Source organism: Homo sapiens, chromosome 7 (assembly GCF_000001405.40).
Source record: "Homo sapiens chromosome 7, GRCh38.p14 Primary Assembly".
NCBI lineage: Eukaryota > Metazoa > Chordata > Mammalia > Primates > Hominidae > Homo > Homo sapiens.
Genome location: NC_000007.14, coordinates 37,225,144 through 37,247,545, shown reverse-complemented (window position 1 = coordinate 37,247,545; position 22,402 = coordinate 37,225,144). Strand labels below are relative to the sequence as shown.

The 22,402-nt window shown below is 37.7% G+C and overlaps 1 protein-coding gene across 14 annotated transcripts in view; it reads left to right on the top strand.

Annotated features, from left to right (window-relative positions):
- ELMO1 (engulfment and cell motility 1) overlaps positions 1-22,402 on the top strand; it is a 596,421-nt gene that overhangs the window by 201,781 nt on the left and 372,238 nt on the right. For all 14 annotated transcript variants that reach the window (NM_001206480.2, XM_011515654.3, NM_014800.11 and 11 more), the window contains 2 exons: positions 3,155-3,190; positions 14,352-14,451. In NM_001206480.2, coding sequence (NP_001193409.1) covers positions 3,155-3,190; positions 14,352-14,451 — 136 coding nt within the window. The remainder of the gene's footprint in view (positions 1-3,154; positions 3,191-14,351; positions 14,452-22,402) is intronic.

Here is a 22,402-nt window from a genome sequence, read left to right as displayed (position 1 = left end):
AAAATTGATTATACAAATTGGGTAATTCTTGTCACACTCAACTAAGTCACAGTTGAGGAGCTGAGGCAGAAAGCACATGGGCACATGGCACCTGCTCCAAGAATCGAATTGTCTGCAAGTCCAGCTGCTAAGATGGCCTGGTGTAACCCTAAGACCAGTTTAATCTAGTAGCTGCTGAAATGACCTGCTGTGACTTTAGGACTGGTTTTACCTACCACTGTCACTCACCAATCAGAGCTTAGCAGCTCTCAAAAATTCTAGTGCCTATAAGCTTTCTTTCAAAACCGTAGGTAACATTCCTATTTCTAATAAAACTCCCAACCTTTCCTTTGTTCCTCAGACATACCAAAGTCTACCAGTCTATGTGTATGCTTCAAATTGCAATTCTATGATTCTCCAATAAAATGTTTAATTTAGAGGTTTCCCTCTATATTACATTTTGACTTCAGATATACAAATATGTGTTAAAATAATTTATTTTACTCATATGATATGATGAAACTAGGCAGATGTTATAACTTTAAAGAAAAAGTCAAAAGAGCACAAATTTATATGAAGCAAAGGAATGTTGAGATGAATTGCAAATGAAGACACAACTAGTTTTCCACCAGTGGAAAGGAAGTCAATTAAATCACTGCCAGACAGGAGATATAGATAGATAGATAGATAGATAGATAGAGATATATATAGATAGATATAGACAGATATATACAGATATATATATAGATAGATATCTATCTATCTATCTGTCTGTTTATCTATCTATCTATCTGTCTCTCCATCAGTTACCTACATCTTAACAAAGCGTTGTAAAATAACTCAAAGCCAACAGGACTAGAATCTGATAGCCCAAAAGGATATGTTGTAGGCGCTGCTTAGTTTTCTACTGAAACACAAGATTTTGTTTTTTACAGATTTATCCAGTGTTCTCTCATCACAACAAACATTACAACAAAAATTTCTCTTTATGAAGACCCATATTGTATGTCTTTGGCTGGAATATAACAGATGGTTGTGATTTTTTTTCCCCCATTTCGTCCTGTTGATGGCACATGGTATCTCTTTGTTTTATTACTGGTTATAACTTTGACCACTTCATTAAGATAGCATCTTCCAGATGTCTCCACTATAATACTTTCTCCCTACCTTAGCAGCTAATTCATGAAAAGTTTGTAGGGAGACACAGTGAAACTATGTAAAGCCTCATTACCCCAATTTCACCCATCAGTTTTGGCATTGACATTTCTTATCTGAATTAATTATTGCTCTGATGATTTCCAAAGGAAAATTTTCTAATACTATGATTTCTTCTACATGTATTAGTTGGTTTTCTTTGGTAGTAAGAGCTCTGTTTTTTCCCTACGTATTTATTCACCTACATGTTTATCTCCAGTGGGGAGCTCATACCAGCTCCTGAGAGCCACTTTTGTACAACTCTGTTCTGCTCTGCGTTCATTGACCTCATGTTGGTTCTTTAAGTTGGCCATAGTGAGAGTCGTTACACTGTGGAAATCGGAAAATAATATCAAGCAGATTCGTGTGTTTTTCCCCAGAGATCTGGTGTTTCAACATCAGCACATCACTCTATAACAATGTGGACTAATTCATTCCTGTTTTATTCAGTGGGTTTAATCTATCACTATTATTATTGATTTTGATGCTCAGCGTGTCCCTGATGTGGCCTGTGGGAGCTCTTTCAAGCTGACTTCTGTGTCCTTTTGACCTGTATTGCGTTATGTTTTGAGCATTTCTTTACTTTCTGGCTCAACAAGATGTTCCAGAACTATCTAGATCTCCTTGCCCCACCCCTAATACGAGCCACTTCCCCAAGGAGCCCTGGTTCCTTTTAGTGGAGAGTAGCCTCTGGCCCTTGCGTGCTGCCAATTTATGCTCAGGCCTGCCTCCCCGTCTCACCCTTTCACCCTGCCCAATGCCTTTTTGATGAAGGAAGGATGGGAAATAGTAAATATTTTTTAAAAGAAAGGCAGGTAAAGGAGGGGGAGCAGAAGAGGAATAAAAATATCTCTTTATATGCATTTTTAATCCCCCTCCCACAAATTTTACCAGAGACTAAATTTAGTCTTTGCCTGGTGATTTGGATTTCTGAAATGGTTACATTTTATGTGGTTGAGAATGTGAAAATTTCTGAAGAGCAAAATCGTTTGTCAACCGTGTATTCAGTCCCTACTCTGGATGTGCCTCACATTACGCTATTGTCACAGTGCAGAGTCCTAGCCCTCAAGCAGCTAGAAGGACAGTGAGATGTCCTGAGGCTTATAGCTGATGTGTCCTCAGGGCCTGTGGCCTGCGATGCAGGCACCATCTATGCTGTCTGAGGAAGAGAAATCAGAAGTCAGAGAGACTTCCTAGAGGACCCCAGAATGAGCCTAGAATGAGATGAGTTTGGGGGTAGGACTTAGCGAGTTGGGCAAAGAGGGGATGGATGTTTCATAAAGAGGGAAGATCATACTTAAAGCCAGAGAGATTTGGCAGACTTGAGGAATGAGAGATGGTTTGGCCAGTTTTGAAACACTTGTTTCTTCATATTCTTGAGCCTAGTTTTTTTAAAAAAGCATAAGTATCCTTTATTATAGCCAGATTTGCCTATTCTAAGCCACCAGCCCAGAGTTCAGTTTTGGGATTTAACACTAGTGCAATGTCTTATTGCAAAGAGATTGATTGCAGCATCTTCCCACAGAAGAAGCCACCTGAGAGAGAAAAGAGAAAGTAAAATTAGTGGACATTCTACCAAAGAAAGATAATAAAATATTTCTTTATAGTCTAGTGGTTTTTGTCTCAATGTTTTTTCATTTAAAATGTATCAATTCCTATCCCTATGGGTACCCCACCCCGCTCCATTGAACACAGACCCATTCTGATCTAAATGGACGGTTTTGGATGCCTTTACTCATAAGCAAATGCAACTGGTTAATGACAGTAGTTTAATGCTGATCTTTTGATTGTTTGTTTCTGATCATTAAAGAACACCAGTTTATTACTTTGAATGATGTCTTGAAATGGATAAAATTCTTTTACTTCATGGCAGTTAAATCTGTCCTAAATCTAATCCTGAGTTTTCTTCAAGATATGTTCTTTGTGTAAAAATTGTTGCTTTTAAGTATGCTCCTCACATGGTTGTTTTTAAATTTTGCAGGCGATACCAGAAATTGCAGAAGATCATGAAGCCTTGGTAAGAATATTTGATCGATTGATATTGATGATTTAACCCTTCCTACTTTCCTGCATAATTGAGCCCTGTCATCTGACTGATTGTATAACTATGCATCTAGTATTTTGAATAAGTGATTTTTTGTTATTTTTGTTTTCTATTTGATGTTCTTTTATAAACAACTTCTTCAAAAATGTATTTTCCCCCCTTTTTTTGCTTTGGAGTAGAAAGAATATTTTATGTATGTAACCACTAAGTGATGCTGTAACCACAGAAAGATTGCTACCCTACTTCTGGAGCAGTGCTAAGCATAATTTTATGTATTATTTTAAACAAAACTAACTTTTATGTGGCCTGTGTGATGTTCAAAGTCAAAAGTCTTTGATTTTCTTCAGTGGCTTAGAAAGAAAACGGATTCACATTTTTAAAAGTATCCAGGATTGAAGGATGCAATGAAAATTATTTACTTTGAGTCTGAGAAAGTGCTCGATCACCTATCTATGAAGTGAATTGTATGATTGTGTCTGAAGATAGAAACCTTCTTTCTTAGAGTTTTCCCTTCTAAGTTTCTTTCTTAACCATTAAACAGGGTGAGTCCAAATATGGTTCTAACAAACTGTTTGAAGTAGGCCGAACAGATTTTCATGGTGCCAAGCCATTAAGCAGATAATTTCAGTTTGAGAAGGAACACTGACCAGCGTCTCAAAGTGTGAACCTTATTTTGTAAGCTCTCAGAGAAAATCCTCATCACCTTCAATGTACTATAGTATTATGCTGGTCTCAAATCATTCACACACAGAAAAGTATGAGTTGCAGGAATTCTTCTGTTTATTAAATTCTAATAAAGTAGAAAGCAATATTGAGCTTCTAGGGTAAAGCTTCTTAAATTTCATTTTGATGTATTTAATACAGTAGAAGCACTTAATGGTAATGACAGTAGAAGCCACTTTTTATGAGACTTTATCCTGGGCATTGTCTCAATGTTTACACTCATTACTCCAAATCCACACTTACATTCAACATACAAGCTCGGTATTTCCTTGGTGCAGAAGTTAAAATCAGATGGAGGAGCTGGGATTCAAACTTACTTTCTCCCCATCTACTTAACAGAATTTGCAAATATAGAGGAATTTGGGGCCCTGAAGCCAAAATAATTTATTTAAAATTTATTAGACAGTAGTTTTAATCTTTTGGTATGTAGATATGCTGGACAGTTTGTAGTGTAGTTCATGATTTTTATTGATAAATCATAGACAGAAATGAATAGTCAAGGCCCTGGTTCTGGTAATGGCACAGTAGCACAATCAGACTAACACAGATAACAATTATGAAATCCGGACAAAATATTATAAACAAAACATCTTAAACCAACTATATGAAGGCACTGGATAGCAACCCAAAACAGGCAGAAGGTAGAGGGAAGTTAACCCTTGAGAGACCAGATGGGTCTTTGATGGGATTTGTATGTTTGAAGCTTTTTCTCTGAGAACACCTACTCATCCAGGCAGCATGGGGTGGCAGAGAGCCTCAGTCTTAGTAAGTTACTAAGAAGATGTAGTTTGGGACTGCAGAGCAGCTAGCTAATTAGAGGGAATCTATGAAAGACGAGAAGCTCAGAGAGTAGGAGACTCCACATCCACATGTAAACCCTGTCGCAGTCCACTGCTGATCACTGAAGTGCAAATGCACACTTTAATGGTAAAAACAGCAACTTAAAGATCTGAGCAAAGATGTCAGCTGTCACTCACTTCAGAATTTAGATTTTTACTTCCTGCTAGAACAAAAATTATCACTCTTCAGAGGAACAAAACTGATATCTGAATATTGACAGTGTTTTGTTCACAATATCCAGTATATAATAAAAATGTGCTAGGTATGTAAGGAAATAGGAAAAGACGACCTATAGTTAAGAAAAAATGTAGGTAGTAAAAACTGGCCCTGAGATGACCCAGATGTTGGAATTAGCAGATGAAGGTTTTTTAAAAACTTTTATAAATATGTTAAAAACTAAAGAAAAGTATGAGTGTAATGAATGCACAGATGGGGAGTCTTAATAGAGAAATTGAAACCATAAAAATAACCAGATGTCAGTTATAAAATTGAAAAGCACAATAAAGTGAAAATTTTACTGTATGAGGTTGAAGATGTCAGAAGAAGAGATAGTAGCCTTGAAGATGTATCAGTGTAAGTTACCTAATCTGAAAAGTTGATAAAATGAATAATGAGTACTTGACCTGTGAGATAATAAGTTATCTGAAATACATTTAATTGGAGTCCCAAAAGGAGAGGAAAAAGAATGGGGAAGGCAAATATTTGAGGAAATAATTACAGAAGAAAATAATGATGGAGATATATGAAGCAAGTTCTTCACACTGGAGAGACATGATAGTAGATAGATACTCAGATCTGTAGGAAAATATGAAGAACAACAGAAACTAAATATGTGGGTAATATAAAAAGACAAAATGTAGTTTTACTTTCCTTTAAATTTCTTTAAAAGGCTGTAACTATATAAAGCAAAAATTATAATACTGTTTGGTAGGGTTTATGACATATGTTGATGCAATATGTATGACAATGAGAGCACAAAGGATGGAGGTATAAGAGCAACTACACTACAGCAAGCTTCCTAGTGTATAATCTTCCGTTTAAGTAGACATTAATATACTAATGGTGCACATTGTAATACACAGAGTCACAACTAAAAACAGTGCAAGGAAGCATAGGCCAAAACACAAAGGAGGGATTAAATCAGACTACTAAAAAAATTTGATTAATTCAAAAGAAGGTAAGGAAAGAGAAGTAGAATAAAATATAGTTAAGACAAACAGAAAACAAGTTGGTTGACTTCAATCTAATCATATCAATACATTAAATGTAAATAGACTAAGCAGCTCAATGAAAAGGTTTAGATTGTCAGATGAAATTTTTTAAAAAGCATGGCCCAGCTCTATGCTGTTTATAAGAGATGTACTATAAAGACAAGGGCACATGTACGTTGAAAATAAAAGGATGGAAAAACATATACCATGCAAATGCTAATAATAATAAAACTGAATGGTTTTATTATCAGGAAAGATAAGACTTGAAAGCAATATGTTATCAGAGTTAAAGAGGGATAATTAGTAATAAAAATGGTCGCCTCATTAAGAAGATTTAATCCTCCTTTTTATTTTAAATGTGTATGCACCTAAAAATTTTAAATGTGTATGCACATTTAAAATTATTATACATGTGTATAATAAAGTTTTAAAATACGTGAAGCAAACACTGACTACTAAGGAGAAAAAGAGGCAAACCCATCAGCATAGTTGATGATTTTAAGACCAGTCTTTCCTAACTGGTATGAAAACTAGGCAAAATGTTAAGGATATAGATGATTTGATCAACACTATCAAAGGTCTTGCCTTAATTGTCATTTATAAAGCATCAGACTCAATAACAGCAAAATATACATTATTTTCAAATGCACATGGAATGTTCATCAAAATAGTCCATAGTAAGGCTCAAGAATTTTCAAATGATTAAAATTACACAGATTATGTTCTTTGATCACAAGGAAATTAAATTAGAAGTCGGTAACAATAAAATAGCCGAATAGCCTCGGATGTTTGGAAATTAGAAAACACTCTTTCATACTATCAAAGAGTCAAGGAATAACTCAGTTGAAATTATGAAATATTTTAACTGAATGGTAATGAAAATACAACATACCCAAATTTGTGAATGCAGCTGAAGCTGTGCTTAGGGGGAAATTTGTAGCATTAAATATCTATGTTGAAAAGGAAGGATGGTTTAAAAAAAAATGGTCTAAGTTTTTACTTAAGAAGCTTTAAAAAATGTGAATTAAGTAGAAAAAAAGAATAATAAGAATACTAACCAATGAAATAGGAAACAGGCAAATAATACAGAAAATTAAAGCCAAATATTTATTAGGAAAAAAAAGAAAAGAGAAATCCAAATATCAACACCAGGGATAAAAGAGGGAATATCACTACAAATCATACTGACATTAGAAATAAAATAAAAGAATATTGCAAATAATTTTACATTAATAAATTTAATGTTTTAGCACTTGGGGAGGCCAAGGCAGGTGGATCACTTGAGCCCAGCAGTTCAAGACCAGCCTGGGTAACATGGCAAAAACCTATCTCTACAACAAAATTCAAAAATTAGCTGGGTGTGACGCCTTGTGGCTGTAGTCCCAGCTACTTGGTAGGCTGAGTTAGGGGATTGCTTGAGCTAGGGAGGTGGAGGTTGCAGTGAGCCAAGATCATGCCACTGCACTTCAGCCTGGGCAACAGAGTGAGACTCTGTCTCAAAAAAAAAAAAGAAAAAAAAAAAGAAAGAAAATTAAGGATGAAATAGACAAATGCCATGGAAAACAGATTTACCAAATGTGTTAGTCATGGAAATGCATGGCTTTGATCTCCTTTCAGGAAGAACTTGCTAGTCAGCCAAGAAGAGTGCAGTTACCTGATAGTTTTCAGTTATCACATGTTCCAGATTCATAGCAGCTTTCAGTACTCTCCAAAGGCAGCATTTAGTTATTGAACATGGTGGGGATACCAGAGCCTGGTCATTTCTACCCATTATGGGATTCCTCTAAGAGGCACTGTTTATTCTGCAGCGTTCCACTGAGTTGGCTGAGACATTTTCAGATCTGCATTTGCTTCTTCCCCTTCCCTTCGCAGGCATCAGATCTGTTTCATGGTCCCAAGGCTTTCCATACTCAATCCTGCTTTCTGCCTGCTTTATCTTCCACAGGCATTGCCCAAACTCGTACTCAATCTCTGTTCTCATAACTTAGTCTCAGCATCTGCTTCACAGAGGACTAAAACTGACACATCAAAACTGACTCATGATGAAATAGAAAATTTGGACGCCCATAGTTATTAAAAAAATTGAAATTGGCTGGGCGCGGTGGCTCACGCCTGTAATCCCAGCACTTTGGGAGGCCAAGGCAGGTGGATCACGAGGTCAGGAATTCAAGACCAGCCTGGCCAAGATGGTGAAACCCTGTCTCTACTAAAAATACAAAAAAATTATCCATGCATGGTGACAGGCACCCGTAATCCCAGCTACTTGAGAGACTGAGGCAGAGAATTGCTTGAACCCAGGAGGTGGAGGTTTCAGTGAGCCGACGTCGTGCCACTGCATTCCAGCCTGGGCGACAGAGCGAGACTCCATCTCAGAAAAAAAAAAATTGAAATCATTTCTCGAAAACCTTCATACAACAATAACAGGTTACACTGGTGAATTCTATATTATATATTATAGAAGAAATACCAAATCTAAACACATGCTTTTGGAAAATAGAGGAGAGGGACCAGTTCTCATTATTTTATGATACCAGTATCACTCTGATACCAAAACCTGGCAAAGACAATACAGGAAATAAAAATTATAGACCAGATGCAAAAATCCACAGAGGCATGTTAATAAATACAATCAAGCAATATGTTAAAGGGATAATACCTTGTGATCAATAAGAGCTTATCTCAGAAATAGTTTAACATTTGAAAATCAATCAAGCAGCTCAGTGTTTTATGAAATAAAGGAGAAAACCTAAAGAGAAAAATCATCTTAATGGAGAGAAAGCATTTCATAAAATCTAATGTATATTAATAATAAAAATTCTCAGCAAGCTAGGAATAGAGGGAACTTCCTCATCTTGATAAAGTAATCTACAAAAACTCCATCATACTTAATGTTGAAAGACTGAATGTTTTCTACCCTACAGACTGAGAATAAGGCAAATATGTTTGCTTTCTGCAGTTCTGTTCAACATTGTATAGGATTTCTTAGCTATTGCAGTAAGTCAATAAAGAAACTAAAAGCATAATATAAGAAAGGAAGATGTAAAACTACCTCTATTCATAGAAAACATGATTATCTATTTAGAAAATTCTTAGGAATCTACAAAGAAACTGCTAGATATAATTGAATTTAGCAAGGTTTCAGGATACAATGTCAATAAAATAAAAATGAATTTTTATATTTTAACAGCAACCATTGGAAAATGACATTTTAAAATTTCCACTTATAAAGTATCAAAATCATAATTTGTAGAAATAAATCTTTATTTTTAGGGATAAATTCATCGATAGACATGCAATATCTATTTATTTGCTAAAAATAAATAAATGAGGGGAAATAAAGACCTAAACAAGTGGAGGGATAGACCATTTCATGTGGTGGAGGACACAATTTTAATTAGATAGCAGTTCTCTTCTGACATCCTTTGGCAGGGACACAGAGCCAAAGCATATCATCTTTATACTATAGGTTCAGTGCAATATCAGTTATTTTTTAAAAGAATTACAAATCAATCCTAAAACCACTGGTAATGTGTGGGACCTAGAATAGCCAAAATGATCAACAATAAAGTTGAAGAGTTTCGTTGACTGATTTCAATACTTCCTATAAGGTTAGCTATCAAGATGGTCTGATATTGGTATAAGGGGGTAGATAAACAGATCAATGTAGTAGAATAGAGTCCAGAATCAACCTGCACTGAAATTTTTAACAAAGGAGCTAGAAGAATGTTTGCTGACATAAGTCATGCTTTTTGAAGGTAAGGGGTGTGTCTATAGGATGACTTATAAATCCATACCTTTCAATGTATATACATTTTACTTCCTCAAGGAGGAAAACAGATGGAAAAACTCAAAGGGCAGGGCAGAACTGTGGCCATTAACCTTGACAATTAAGGATCTATTGAGTACAATTTATCATAGCTTTAAAAGTGGCCTTTATTTTCATCTTTTTTCAAATTCTGTATTGGGGCCGGGCATGGTGGTTCACGCCTGTAATCCCAGCACTTTGGGAGGCTGAGGCGGGCGGATCACCTGAGGTCAGGAGTTTGAGGCCAGCCTGGCTAACATGGCGAAACCCCTTCTCTACTAAAAATACAAAAATTAGCTGGGCATGGTGGTGTGCACCTGTAATCCCAGCTACTTGGGAGGCTGAGGCAGGAGAATCGCTTCAACCTGGGAGGTGGAGGTTGCAATGAGCTGAGATCGCGCTACTGCACTCCAGCCTGGGCAAAAGAGTGAGACTCTGTCTAAAAAAATAAATAAATAAATAAAATTCTGTATTAACGGGCTTGCCACTCCATGGAAACATTTGGAAGCACTATTCTTTTATAAAATTAGTAGCATAAATTTACATGCTTGTTTTGAGATTGGCTGAATTTTGTTGGAATGAAGATGGTGTCTACTAAGTTGATGAGAAACATTTATTTGAATCATTCCAGCACACATGGTGTGTTGGCTGTGACAGTGGCTTTCCACCAGCATGTAAAGTTTGCAGTTGGCTTAATTTGTGGCTGTCAGTACTGCACAATCTTTAGCCTAACAGTTTACAAAATACAAATAATCCAAACAAATAAAAATGTTCCTGGATGTGCCATGTGGTTGCTTTATATTTGTAATTCTTTTAGCCTTGACTCTCTATACCCAGCATTGATTTCAGAGGTAGAACTTGCCTTCTGCTTTCCCGGTTTGGAGCCTGAATTACTCCTCTAGGAGTGGAAATAAACACCTATGTCAAGGTTCAGTAAGAGCTTTTATAGCCATCTCACTTGAAAGAGGTGATTGAATCCCTTGATTTGGAATGTAATAAAATTTTAGCATGGCCATCCTTTCTTTGCAACTGAGAGTTTGAAGTTGAATTTGGAAAAAGTTCTTCCATATGGGAACTTACTATGTCACCCAGCAACCGGTCCTAATGAATATGTTATATACAGAATATGTGTGTAATACAGAATATTATGTAATATGTATATATTATATACCTATGTGTATTTTACATAAATATTATATGCTAGTAATATATAAAATAGGTCCTATTATATATTCCTATCTGTCTCTGCCTATCTGTCATGTCATTAGATAGATCAAGAGAGCTATCCTTCCTCTGAGTACCTTGACTGGTGTATGCTGTGAAAAAGCTTTACTCTCACTTACCAATCATTCCCACTAATGGATACTTGAGAAGCACATATAGCTCTATTTGCAGTCTCAGAAATGGTGCTGCACCTCCTTAACAGCCATAGAGATTGAAATCTTGACTCCCAAACAAGCATGGGGATTTGGAAACCAAATGATACTTTTTCTCCTTCTCTCCAGCTTTTTTTTCCCAAAGTCCTTGCAGCCTGTTCTGTCTGAGGAGTCTGTAGACAGAGCTCTGGAGTGTAGTTTTGGGACGATTGACTGTACCAGATGTTACTAAGATCATTTGGATTAGGGCTCTATTGAGCAGGTAGCTAGGGAGCAGAGTCATATTGCTTTCATATATTAGAGAACATAAATATACTTTATCTTTTGCTTTTAAAGGAGCTACTGAAGACTAATGTCATCTGGTTTCCTGATCTTATCTGAGTGCTGTCTAGCTAATGGGAATGCAGAGAAGAGTATTTTTTGTTGTTTATTGGTTTATTTGTTTTATCTTTCTTCGAGACAGAGTCACTCTGTCGCCCAGGCTGGAGTGCAATGGCACGATCTTGGCTCACTGCAGCCTCCACCTCCTGGGTTCAGCCTTCTGAGTAGAGTAGCTGGAACTACAGGCGCCCGCCACCATGACTGGCTAATTTTTGTATTTTTAGGAGAGACGGGGTTTCACCACGTTGGCCAGGCTGCTCTCGAACTCCTGACCTCAGGTGATGCGCCTGCCTCAGCCTCCCAGAGTGCTGGGATTGCAGGCATGAACCACGGCACTAGGCTAATAGTTTGATTCAGTAGTGTGTGTGTTTCTCTGCCACTGCCTGTTCCATTGCCTGTGCTGCTGTTGATGTTACTGAGGCAGGTTTTTTGCCTTGTACAGATGCTGTGAATGCTGTCCTCCCATGGCGTGTATATGGGAATTTTTTTGACATTTGAGGTCTTTTAATATGCTGGGTATGACCAAATATCCACTATTAGTTATCATTTGGTTCTTGTTTTTCCTCTTTTTAAGTAAATAAAATAAATGAGCTAATTTTGCTTACTGCTCATGCTGTATGTTATTATGTAATGATGTTTTCACAGTAATACTAATGCCTACCCAGTCTATTAATAAATCTTACTAATTGCTTTTATTTCCTGGCTCTTATTTTCCTGAGGCAGTCTTTTTACTTTCTTTTCTTCTTCTTTTTTTTATTTTGCAATCTGATATTTGGATTTTCTTGTGATCCATTGTCTGTAGAAAGAGTCATTCTGGAATTTTTCTTTAACCTTACTCAATACTCTCTTCAACCCATTATTCCACCTGTCTTTCTAATGTTCTGTTCTTTTCTTCAAATAAGTTTGTGTTGTCTGGTTTGGAATTTCTTTTTGAGGCATGATCCTTTGATGCCACCTAGGGGGCACCTGTAAGATCGAGGTTGCCCTTTGCAGCTCTGAAAAGCCAGAGATATTAGCTGCTTTTCTATCTGGTCTGAATGGTTTGGCTTTCCTTGCATTGCTGTTTTTGTTTTCATTTTCTAGTTCTAAGAACAGAGAATCCTTAACACAAGGTGAAACATTTGAAAATCTTGTCCTTCATTCACGTTTTAAAAATCTCACTTTTGCATAGTGAGAATGTAGTAACACTCACACGCTACTTACAATTCACTGCACAGCATTTGGAGGGCTTTAAGCATGTTTGCTTGTTTTCATTTCTCCAAAAATCTCTGAGCTAGTTGTGACTACCACTACCATCATCATCATCATCATCATCCCCATTTTTAATAAATGAGGAAAGAGAAGCATAGGATGGTGCATAACTTGCCCACTTAGGGCTGAAGGGAGAACCCCTGCTGTCTGACTCCACAAACTACCTACTTAGCCGTTTTCGTTTAGCTGGTTGCATCCCCTCTGTTGCCCCTGGTCTCCGGCAGCTTTGGATCATTGTCTTTCCCTGAGAACCACTTCCCCTTCTATAGGTTCCATTTAGCATTACATCTTCTGTGGTGATGCAGAATTTCAAAGGTCATTTTTGAGGCTGGGCTGAGTAGAACAGTAGGAAGAAGGGAAATTGAGAAGCTGTTTTAAAAGAAATGTTACCTGTTTTCTATTCTACTAGTTGGAAATAAAACTAGTTGGAAGGTTCAATCTAAATATGTTAGGAGACTTTGTAGGATATCAATAATGGTATGCATGAGCCTACAAATGAAAAATCTATATAACCAACTTTATTTTTTTAAAAATTGAACCTAGGAATCAGTGCTGTTACATAATACAGTGTACAGATCCTGACTGGCATAATTCAATGTACTCAAAGAAAGAGTATTTATCATAAAGGTGTTAATACTTATAATGATGATAATTTACAATAAAGGTGAATATCTATGAAAGATTCTGTGTATCTAAGTCTCTGCTAAAGTGTTGTTTTGAAAGCTGTAGACACCAGGATATTGTCTAATAAGGGTCCTAGGTGGAACTGCATTTGCCCAAGCCTAATCTCTGTTTGGATTTTCAAACCACATATTAGACCCACCTTATAGCCTACTGAATCTCAGCAAGTCTTTTGGTCAGCAAACCCATTATGTGGAGTGATTATCTCCATCGATATGCCAGAAAAGTTACTAACTAAAGACGAAATGCTGGCCAAAATCAAAATGAGTATGTTTACTTGCATACATGTTTGTATCTGTGTGTCCACACAGAGGGATGTATAGACCACTTAAAAAAAGTACTAATTCTCTTAATAGAAGTATTTTTAATTTTCTCTTTGGATGTGTATGGGTAATAAAGGAAGCACATTGCCCTGCCTAAGCAGCTCCAAATTTCATTAGCCAAGAAGCTTTTCTTTAAGCCACCATTTACTGAGTGTCTATATGCTACATACTTTATTAAGTAAGTAGCTCTGTGGCTAGATAGATATCACCATCTAGTTTTTCAGCTGAAAAAATAGAGGCTCAGGCAGGGTCAGTGAATTGCCCAGAACAACACAGCTCACCAGAACGAGAGTTGGTGTGAGCCCGGGTCTGTTGGATGCTGAAGCCCTGGTTGACCTCATCAAGGCCGTCCTGCCCAACCTCATCAAGGCCGTCCTGCCCCTTCATGTCACTCATGTTAGTGAAGAAGTCACCTGTGGTCCTGCTATTTGTCTCTTGATCTTTTAAAATTCTGCTTGTATTCACTTTCCCAGAACTTTCTTGCTTCTGTGTCTTTGCTCAGCTTTGGGGCTCTTGACTCTTGTGCCTCTCTGTCTTTTTCAGCTTTGGAGACATGCTGTCCTTCACCCTGACGGCCTTCGTTGAGCTGATGGACCATGGCATAGTGTCCTGGGATACATTTTCGGTGGCGTTCATTAAGAAGGTAAGGTGGACTCTGCCTCTTTAGGCTTTCCTTACTGTCTTCTGTCATAGCTATTTTTCTCTGCTTTGAGGATGTTTCATAATTGTCTTTCCTTTAGTTCTTTATATTAAAAGATGGGTATGATTTTTTATAATATTATGTATGTGGGGGTCAGGAAACCCAAATTCTGTATAAAAATGATTGTAAGAGATTATAAGGGATTGCATGTGCGCACCCATAGCTCAGACCAGATAAGTGTGTCACACTGTTAATAACTGCACAAGTGTGTTAATTCCCCATGTGTGACTCTGTTGGTTTCAAGACCTAAACAGAGTTCCTACTGTCATCCTTCTTGAGCCTTTAATCCCCAACCTGGTGTCCAGGGAAAAGGAAAGAGGCAAAGTATACTGATGACCTGCACACCTAGGTTTGAAGCAGGGTTATATGAAAAGGAGGGATGCCTGAGTCCATGTGTCTTAAGCAGAGTGAGCCTGCTTACTTGTAATCAGGGTGCAAGGAATATCTCAGACATCACCCAGTTCTACCAGTTCTTCATTTGGGAGGAAGCAAATGAAGATGGACCTGGTGCAGGAAGATGGGGCAGAAGAGCCCTACCATTCCTTGCAATTGAAGTGTAACAAATTTGCAACTCTGTTTCCATTCTTCTGACTAAAAATAAACAGTCTTGATCTTGTCACTCTTAAATGTAGATTAAATCATGGACAATTATCATTTATTGATTTATTTTTTCCTTTCTTTGTATTTGCGAAATGGTTTATAAATTCATTGGCATTTCTCCTCCCTACTACTGTATTAGGAATAAAGAGATGTTTGGAATTCATAACTTTATTTTATAAGTATCGGTTACTGGAAAGAGAATTTCAGTGAATCTGTGCAAGCCAGAAAATCAGAGCAAAATCCATTAAGAGTCACTTGAAGTTTTTAAGCCTTTTATTTTAAACTAATGGTAGACTTAAAGAAAAGTTGCAGCAAATTGGACTTTGGGAGGCCAGCGCAGGTGGATTATTTGAGGTCAGGAGTTCAAGACCAGCTTGACCAACATGGTGAAACCTCGTCTCTATGAAAACTACAAAAATTAGCCGGGCGCAGTGGTGGGAGCCTGTAATCCCGCCTACTTGGGAGGTTGAGGTAGGAGAATCACTTGAGCCTGGGAGGCAGAGGTTGCAGTGAGCCGACATTGCACCACTACACTCCAGTCTGGGTGACGGAGTGAGACCCTGTCTCAAAAAAGTAAAAAAAAATTAGTACAGACTGTTCCTATAAGCCCTTCATCCAGCCTCCCCTAAAGTTAACATTTTGCAAAATGACAGTACGGTTATCAAAATTGATAAATAAGCTGTGGTGCAATGCCGGCATTTGATTTCACCTGTTTTTCTATGAATGCCTTTCTCTGGTTAAGGATCTGATCCAGGATCCCACACTGAATTTGGTTGTCATGCCTCCTTAGTGTCCCCAAGTCTGTGACAGTCCCTCAGGTTTTTTGTTTGTCATTTATGATTTTGACACTTTTGAAAGTTAACAGTCAGTTATTTTGTATAATGTTCCTCAATTTGGATTTGTCTGATATTTCCCTCATGGTTCAATTAAAGAAGGTTATGCATTTTTGGCAAGAATGCTACAGAAGTTATGGCACATCCTCAGTGCATCCTTTCATGGGCATATGATGTCACTGTCCTCTGACTGGTGATGTTACCCTGGATTACATGATTAGGTGGCATCTGTAGGATCTCCCCACTGTAAACGTGCTGCTTTTTTTTTTTTTGAAATTAATCATTATCTTAGGGGAGATGTTGCCTTGAATCGAAGGACATGAGATGGCCCTAATCGGTTGAATGAGGGGGGTAGGATCAGAGGCCCCACAGGTGTCATGTCCGCACTATGTTTTATGTTCATTTAAGACAAGAGCTGATTGGAAACCCAGGGCCTTCTCAACACATCTCAGAATCAACTCTCTTTCCTTATGTAAATCCATAAAGCCAAAGGGGATGAGCAAAAGGAACCCTGTAGAAAACACACAGAAAAGGAAGAGGCCCCTTTTTGCCTGTATTTATCAGTGGTATGAATTGCCATAAAGGAAAGAAACTGTTGGAATTGCCATTAAGAGTAATGCAAAAACCGCAATTACGTTTGCACCAACCTAATTGCTAAAGAAGCCAAAGACATCCCGATGTGTTATAAAGTACTTTCCTGCCACCTTTGGTGGTGGCAGGGAATGTAAGCATTAGATTATGAGAGGAAAAAATAAATGGCACTATTTTGCCTCTCTAAGATCAGTTCCAGAGAAGCAATTCCAAATCTGAAGATAGTGAGTATCATTGATTTTTTAATACTTAACAAACATTTTAACTTTTTGAATTTACAGCAGGCTTTCTTTTCTACCTCCAGAGTGCCCGGCTTGTCTGTTATGAGAGCCTCTTTTGCTATAGAATGTAACAACAATGTTGTACTGAATGTGAATTCCTTGAAATTATGTTCTACTTTCACCAACATTAGCTCTTTTGATTCCCCACAGCAATCCTTTCCAGAACAGAACAGATAGTCTTGTTATTTCTGGTTAGGAGGCAGGGATGCAGTGGCTTGCCGAGGTTGAATGAGGTCACATAGTGAGTGGGCGTCCTTGGTCACATGGTCAGGGTGCTTCTCCTCCTCATCATGCACCTGTGCTTTCCAAGTGGTGGAAGGCATAGTTCCCGGAGCCTTGCTTAACCAGCCTGTCTCTTACATATTCCTCCCTGACCTTACTGCTTAGAGTTAAGCAATTTCTTCTGCTCTCTGTTCCCCTGGGATCTCCTGAATGCCCCTGTTCCAGCACTTGTCACATTTCGGTGAATTTTTTATTCATTTAACAGTATTTCCCAATAGAGTATTACCTCAGGAAGGCAGAAACGTGGCTTTCTTCATGTCTTTATCCTCGGGGCCTGGCACAGAGTAAGGTCTTAATACATTTCTGTGAAATGAATGAATAAAATTTGCTTGGAAGCATTAAAAATACCCACAGAATTTGAAGAAGAGAAGGAAAAAAAAGTACTGTATTTAAATATATTTTAAGTAAAATTTCGGTGATGAGTGGAAAGGAATTAGAAAGCTGTGTTTCTTTAAATGATGTGAGCAATGGCCAAAGAGAATGACAGTCATTTAATTTTCTAACAACTTAAGAAAATGTTTTTCATTCATTGAAATTAATTCAAAAATCATATTAAATGTAAGAAAGTAAAGACTGACAGTCTTGGTGGTTTAAATAAAAAATTAAGTATTTTTTAAAAAGCAGCACATTTAATCTATTTCATGTCCTCATTCCCAGTCTCATTTTCTTTGCATTGCTACTTAGAGATCTGTTACATGAATTTGAAAAAATAGTCATCAGAAAATTACTTACTTTTCTGTAAGGTTAACTTTTTTATTCATTAGCTGGACCAAATTCAGCACTTTGACAACCCAGGAATTGTATGCAGGCAACTGTCTTTTAAATGGAGCTTTATCTCAACAAAAATCGACTAGGAAATGGGCTGACAAAAGATGCCTATCTCTGTGGTCTAGAGTTGGCTTCCTATTAATGCCAAATTCATACCACTTTGGAGAAATATTTTTTTTCCCTGCCAGCCTCTGTCTCCTTCTCTATTACTTTATCTGTTTTGTTATGTGTGAATCTAGATTCTGGTTTACAAATTTTGGCTGCAATAAATAGCATCATTTCATAAACAGCTCTGAAACTTGGAATTCCTTGATACCAATATATAATGTTGCATTTTAAAGACTCGGCTACTTAGGGAGAGAGTAAGAAAATATGGAGTAGAAAGAAAAGAAAAAAAAACTTTAGGTGTTATGAGTTGGTTTTTCCCTAGCCAAGTATAACATCAGTGCCTTCTTTTGGAAGGAAAGTTTCATATAAATGCTCTTGAAACCCTAGCTGTGCAGGAGAACCTGGCTTACCCCGCAAATGTTTTCAGTGCCTGGACAAACATCCCACCATTTTGCTTTAGAGACCTGGTAATTTTTGCCTCTTAAAAATTTGAGAGATTTACAGGCATCTACCTAGATAATTTTAAATACAGGAGTGGAGCTTCATGTTCTCCATGGCTGGTTTTTTGTTTTGTTTTGTTTTTGAGACAGAGTCTCGCTCCGTCACCCAGGCTGGAGTGCAGTGGTGTGATCTTGGCTCACTGCAACCTCTGCCTCCTGGGTTCACGCGATTCTCCTGCTTCAGCCTCCCAAGTAGCTGGGACTACAGGAGCCCACCACCACGCCTGGCTAATTTTTTGTATTTTTAGTAGAGATGGGGGTTTCACCATGTTAGCCGATCTCCTGACCTCGTGATCCACCCGCCTCGGCCTCCCAAAGTTCTGGGATTACAGGTGTGAGCCACTGTGCCCGGCCCTCCATGATTCTTTTAGGTTTTGATAACATAGGAGAATTTTAAGATCTCATTCTAAGTGATTCTAAGAAGTATTTATTGGATCGTTGATTCATGCACTGTAATGCCCCTTAGCTTCTTAAAAGTTACATAAGTATTTCTCTTATTTAGCCAAGATTTTTAAATGAATGAGCAGTACAAGGAGCTAGTGTGTATAATTAATTACTGCTAACTCCTCTTGCTTCTTCCTTATGTTACAGGCCTACTTTCGAGAAGCTGTACTGTGGCTGGCTTGGGTTGGCTCACTTGTGTCACCCAAAAGTACAGTAATGGAGCTGGGATAAATTGAAAGGCAGAGGGAATCATTATTACTCTTTTGGGGGATAAAGGAAATGAAAATTTAAATAGGCATGAATAACCTTCTCTAGCTATATGAAGATCTATAGTTTTCAAACTGGACGTAGAGACATGTGTCCATTAACTAATTTATACATTCAGTTATAAGGAGTTGGTCTCAAGCTCCCTGGAGGACGACAGTTATTACATTCACTTGGATCAGCCCTGATGCGTTGGTTATTAATACTCATTAAGTGGAAGTATTAGGTCATTTGAATATCTGGCTAAAACCAGTGACAAATAAAACAAAAGAAAGAAGTTAAGTTTCAGAAAACCATTAGCATCTACTTCAGACTTGTACATAGGACTGTAATGCATTGAGTGCCCCAGGTGTGTTACACAAAATGCTCATTATGTAACATGCTTTAGGATTGCTGAAATGATTAGTTTATTTATGTCAAGGAAGAGGTGAATTACTAGGAACATGAATTTTAAAGAATACTTTCATGAAAGTAAGGGATTCATTTCTTAGGAGAAAAATAATGAATGGAAATGGAATATGTATGTGGGATATAAATATGCCTGAATTAAAGCAAAGACAGCAAATTATTTTTACCACCATTGAGCAAGCCCACTGGCAGCAGAGAAGAGTTAATGATTTATAGAGAACTTTAAAACCCATTATGAGAAGGTATACTTCATATCAGAAAACACTGAGTGTAGGCTGGGTACCGTGGCTCATGCCTGTAATCCCAGCACTTTGGGAGGCCGAGGCGGGTGGATTACTTGAGGTCAGGAGTTCGATATCAGCCTGGCCAATCTGGTGAAATGCCATCTCTACTAAAAATAGAAAAATTAGCTTGGCGTGGTGGTGCATGCCTGTAATCCCAGCTACTTAAGAGGCTGAGGCAGGAGAATTGCTTGAACTGGAGAGGTGGAGGTTGCAGTGAACTGAGATCATACCATTGCACTCCAGCCTGGGCAACAGAGCAAGATTCCGTCTCAAAAAATAAAAAATAAAAAAGAAGAAAACACTGAGAGTTCTGATTGAATATTTCAAGAAAGGAAATATTGTAAAAAGGATATTTATGGAAGTAGGCAACTAATTCAGGGGGTAAATTTCCATTTGATGGAAAACTTGAACATAAAATAAACTGCAGAAGATTATGTTTCAGTAACCCAGCAATGAGTTAGACCACTGGGCCAGTGTTATTTGTATATACTCTGTATCAAAACGGAGACATGTCAGATGTATCACAGGGATATAAAATAGGCAGCTGGAAATATGAATCACCAGTGATTATGGATTCTTAGAAAAGAGTGATAATTGGGAAGAGAGGAGTAGGAAGACAATGAGATTGATAATCCCCCTTTTTAATTTTTGGCTTTTTTGGAATATCCAAATGGTGGCATCCTTTTGGATGCCAAGAATAGGCCCGCAGTGTACTTCATAGTAAATGCCTTTTTATCTGTCCATACTAGACTGTAAGGTCCTTGAAGTTTGTTATTTTCATCTTTGTATTTCCAGCTCTGTGGGACAGGGCAAGCCTGTTACATAGTACACACGCAATGCATGTTACTGAAATGGATCACTTAATGATGAGTAAATATTGGCTGAATGAAAAGAGTGGATAAAGATGGAGGCGGAGGGTGCTTGACAATATCAGCAACAGCTTCTCAGGCAGAAGCCTCCATGCATCCTTAAGGCACATCCAAATTTAATAAATAGAGACAAGCAGGGGAGCCGGGAATGAGGAGAAAATTAGTTGCAAGAAAATCTGAAGTATTGTCAATGAATTTCTTTATGAGTTCTTCAGTTTCCTAATACCAGTGCCAAGAATTATGCCGAGAGCGTGAAAAATGGTTTGGTGGGGTGGGGGAGGAGTCAGATAATTTATCCTCTGTTTAGAAGATGTCTAAGTTAAGTATTAAACCCTGAACACAGTGTGACAATAATTGGATTTTTGTCAGAGAAAGATGGACCTAGGGAAAGAAGGGTGGCCTTAGCATGGTAGATTTGGTGGATTGGAGCAGACTGCGAGGAATAAGTCAAGGGCTTGCCAAGGATAGTAAACATGTCGGAGAAGGTTATTAGCCATGAGAAGAGCTGAAGCAGTCTTTTGAGAACCTGAAAATTTCCATACTCTTCCTGAAGTTTGTATTTTAAAATAATAGCTTTTCGGAATGTAAAATCATAATGTCACTGCACTTCTTCACATTATTTCCCACCCCTGAGATCCAGATGTAGCTGGGGTAGGCAGAGTGTTGGTATCTGCGTCTCCCACCCCTCCTTTCACCTGGAAATCAGCGGACTAGGGACAATTCCGATGGTACCTGGGAACTGCCATGGTGTGCTGTGCATTTATCATGTGCAAAGATGGAGAGGAGATGAGGCAAGTGGTCTCTGGGGCAGCAAAAAAGGGAGAAATTAGTGTTGACAGGGGGGAAGCAGCAAGAGTTTACTTGTCGTGGAACCAAGTTATTTAGCTTTTAAGAACAGTCATTATGCTGATATAATAATGGCTTTTTATTGTGAGCTGTCAACAGACAGTAATAACTTTTAATGAGGCCTCTAAAATAAAACCTTTATGGTACCCATGTGTTTGGATTACTGCGATCCATTATTCTAACCTCTATTTTATTTTCCGCTCACATTGTGATTTATTATGTTTGGGGATTTAGTGATTAATTCCTTAGAGAATCTATTTTGGAGCTTAAAGTAGTATTTTAACTTTTAGTACTGCTCACTTAAATGATTTCCTGTTTGCTAAATTTGGGAGAGATGAAAAGAACTTGTTTTAACCATCAGAAATTGGAAGAAAGGGGTAACGAGTTTTTCGTTTAAGAGAGTGGCCGGTGACTGAGAAGTTGCCAGTTGAATTGTGTTGACAAGTGAGATTTGTGCGAGTCCCTTAAGAATGCAACAAGAACATAATAAGCATATAAAAGCCATGGATTGTGTGGATGAAGGAGTAGCCTGGGAATGCAAGAGGAATGGCAATTAACATATGTTGACATTACCATCCCAGAGAAACACAGGTATCCTTACAATATATGTGTTGAAATTGTCTGCCCCTAAAAGATGAAACTCAGGAGAATAATCCTAGGAAATACAGAAAGAATAATCCTTGGAGGTGTGTCTTTTTTAAAACATTTGCTTATCAGTGAATTATAGAGATGAGATAAATCATGCTTTGTAATGATATCATGAACAATCCCTAGTTCAATGGGTTTCTTGCTATTTTGCTGTAATTCCAGGTCATC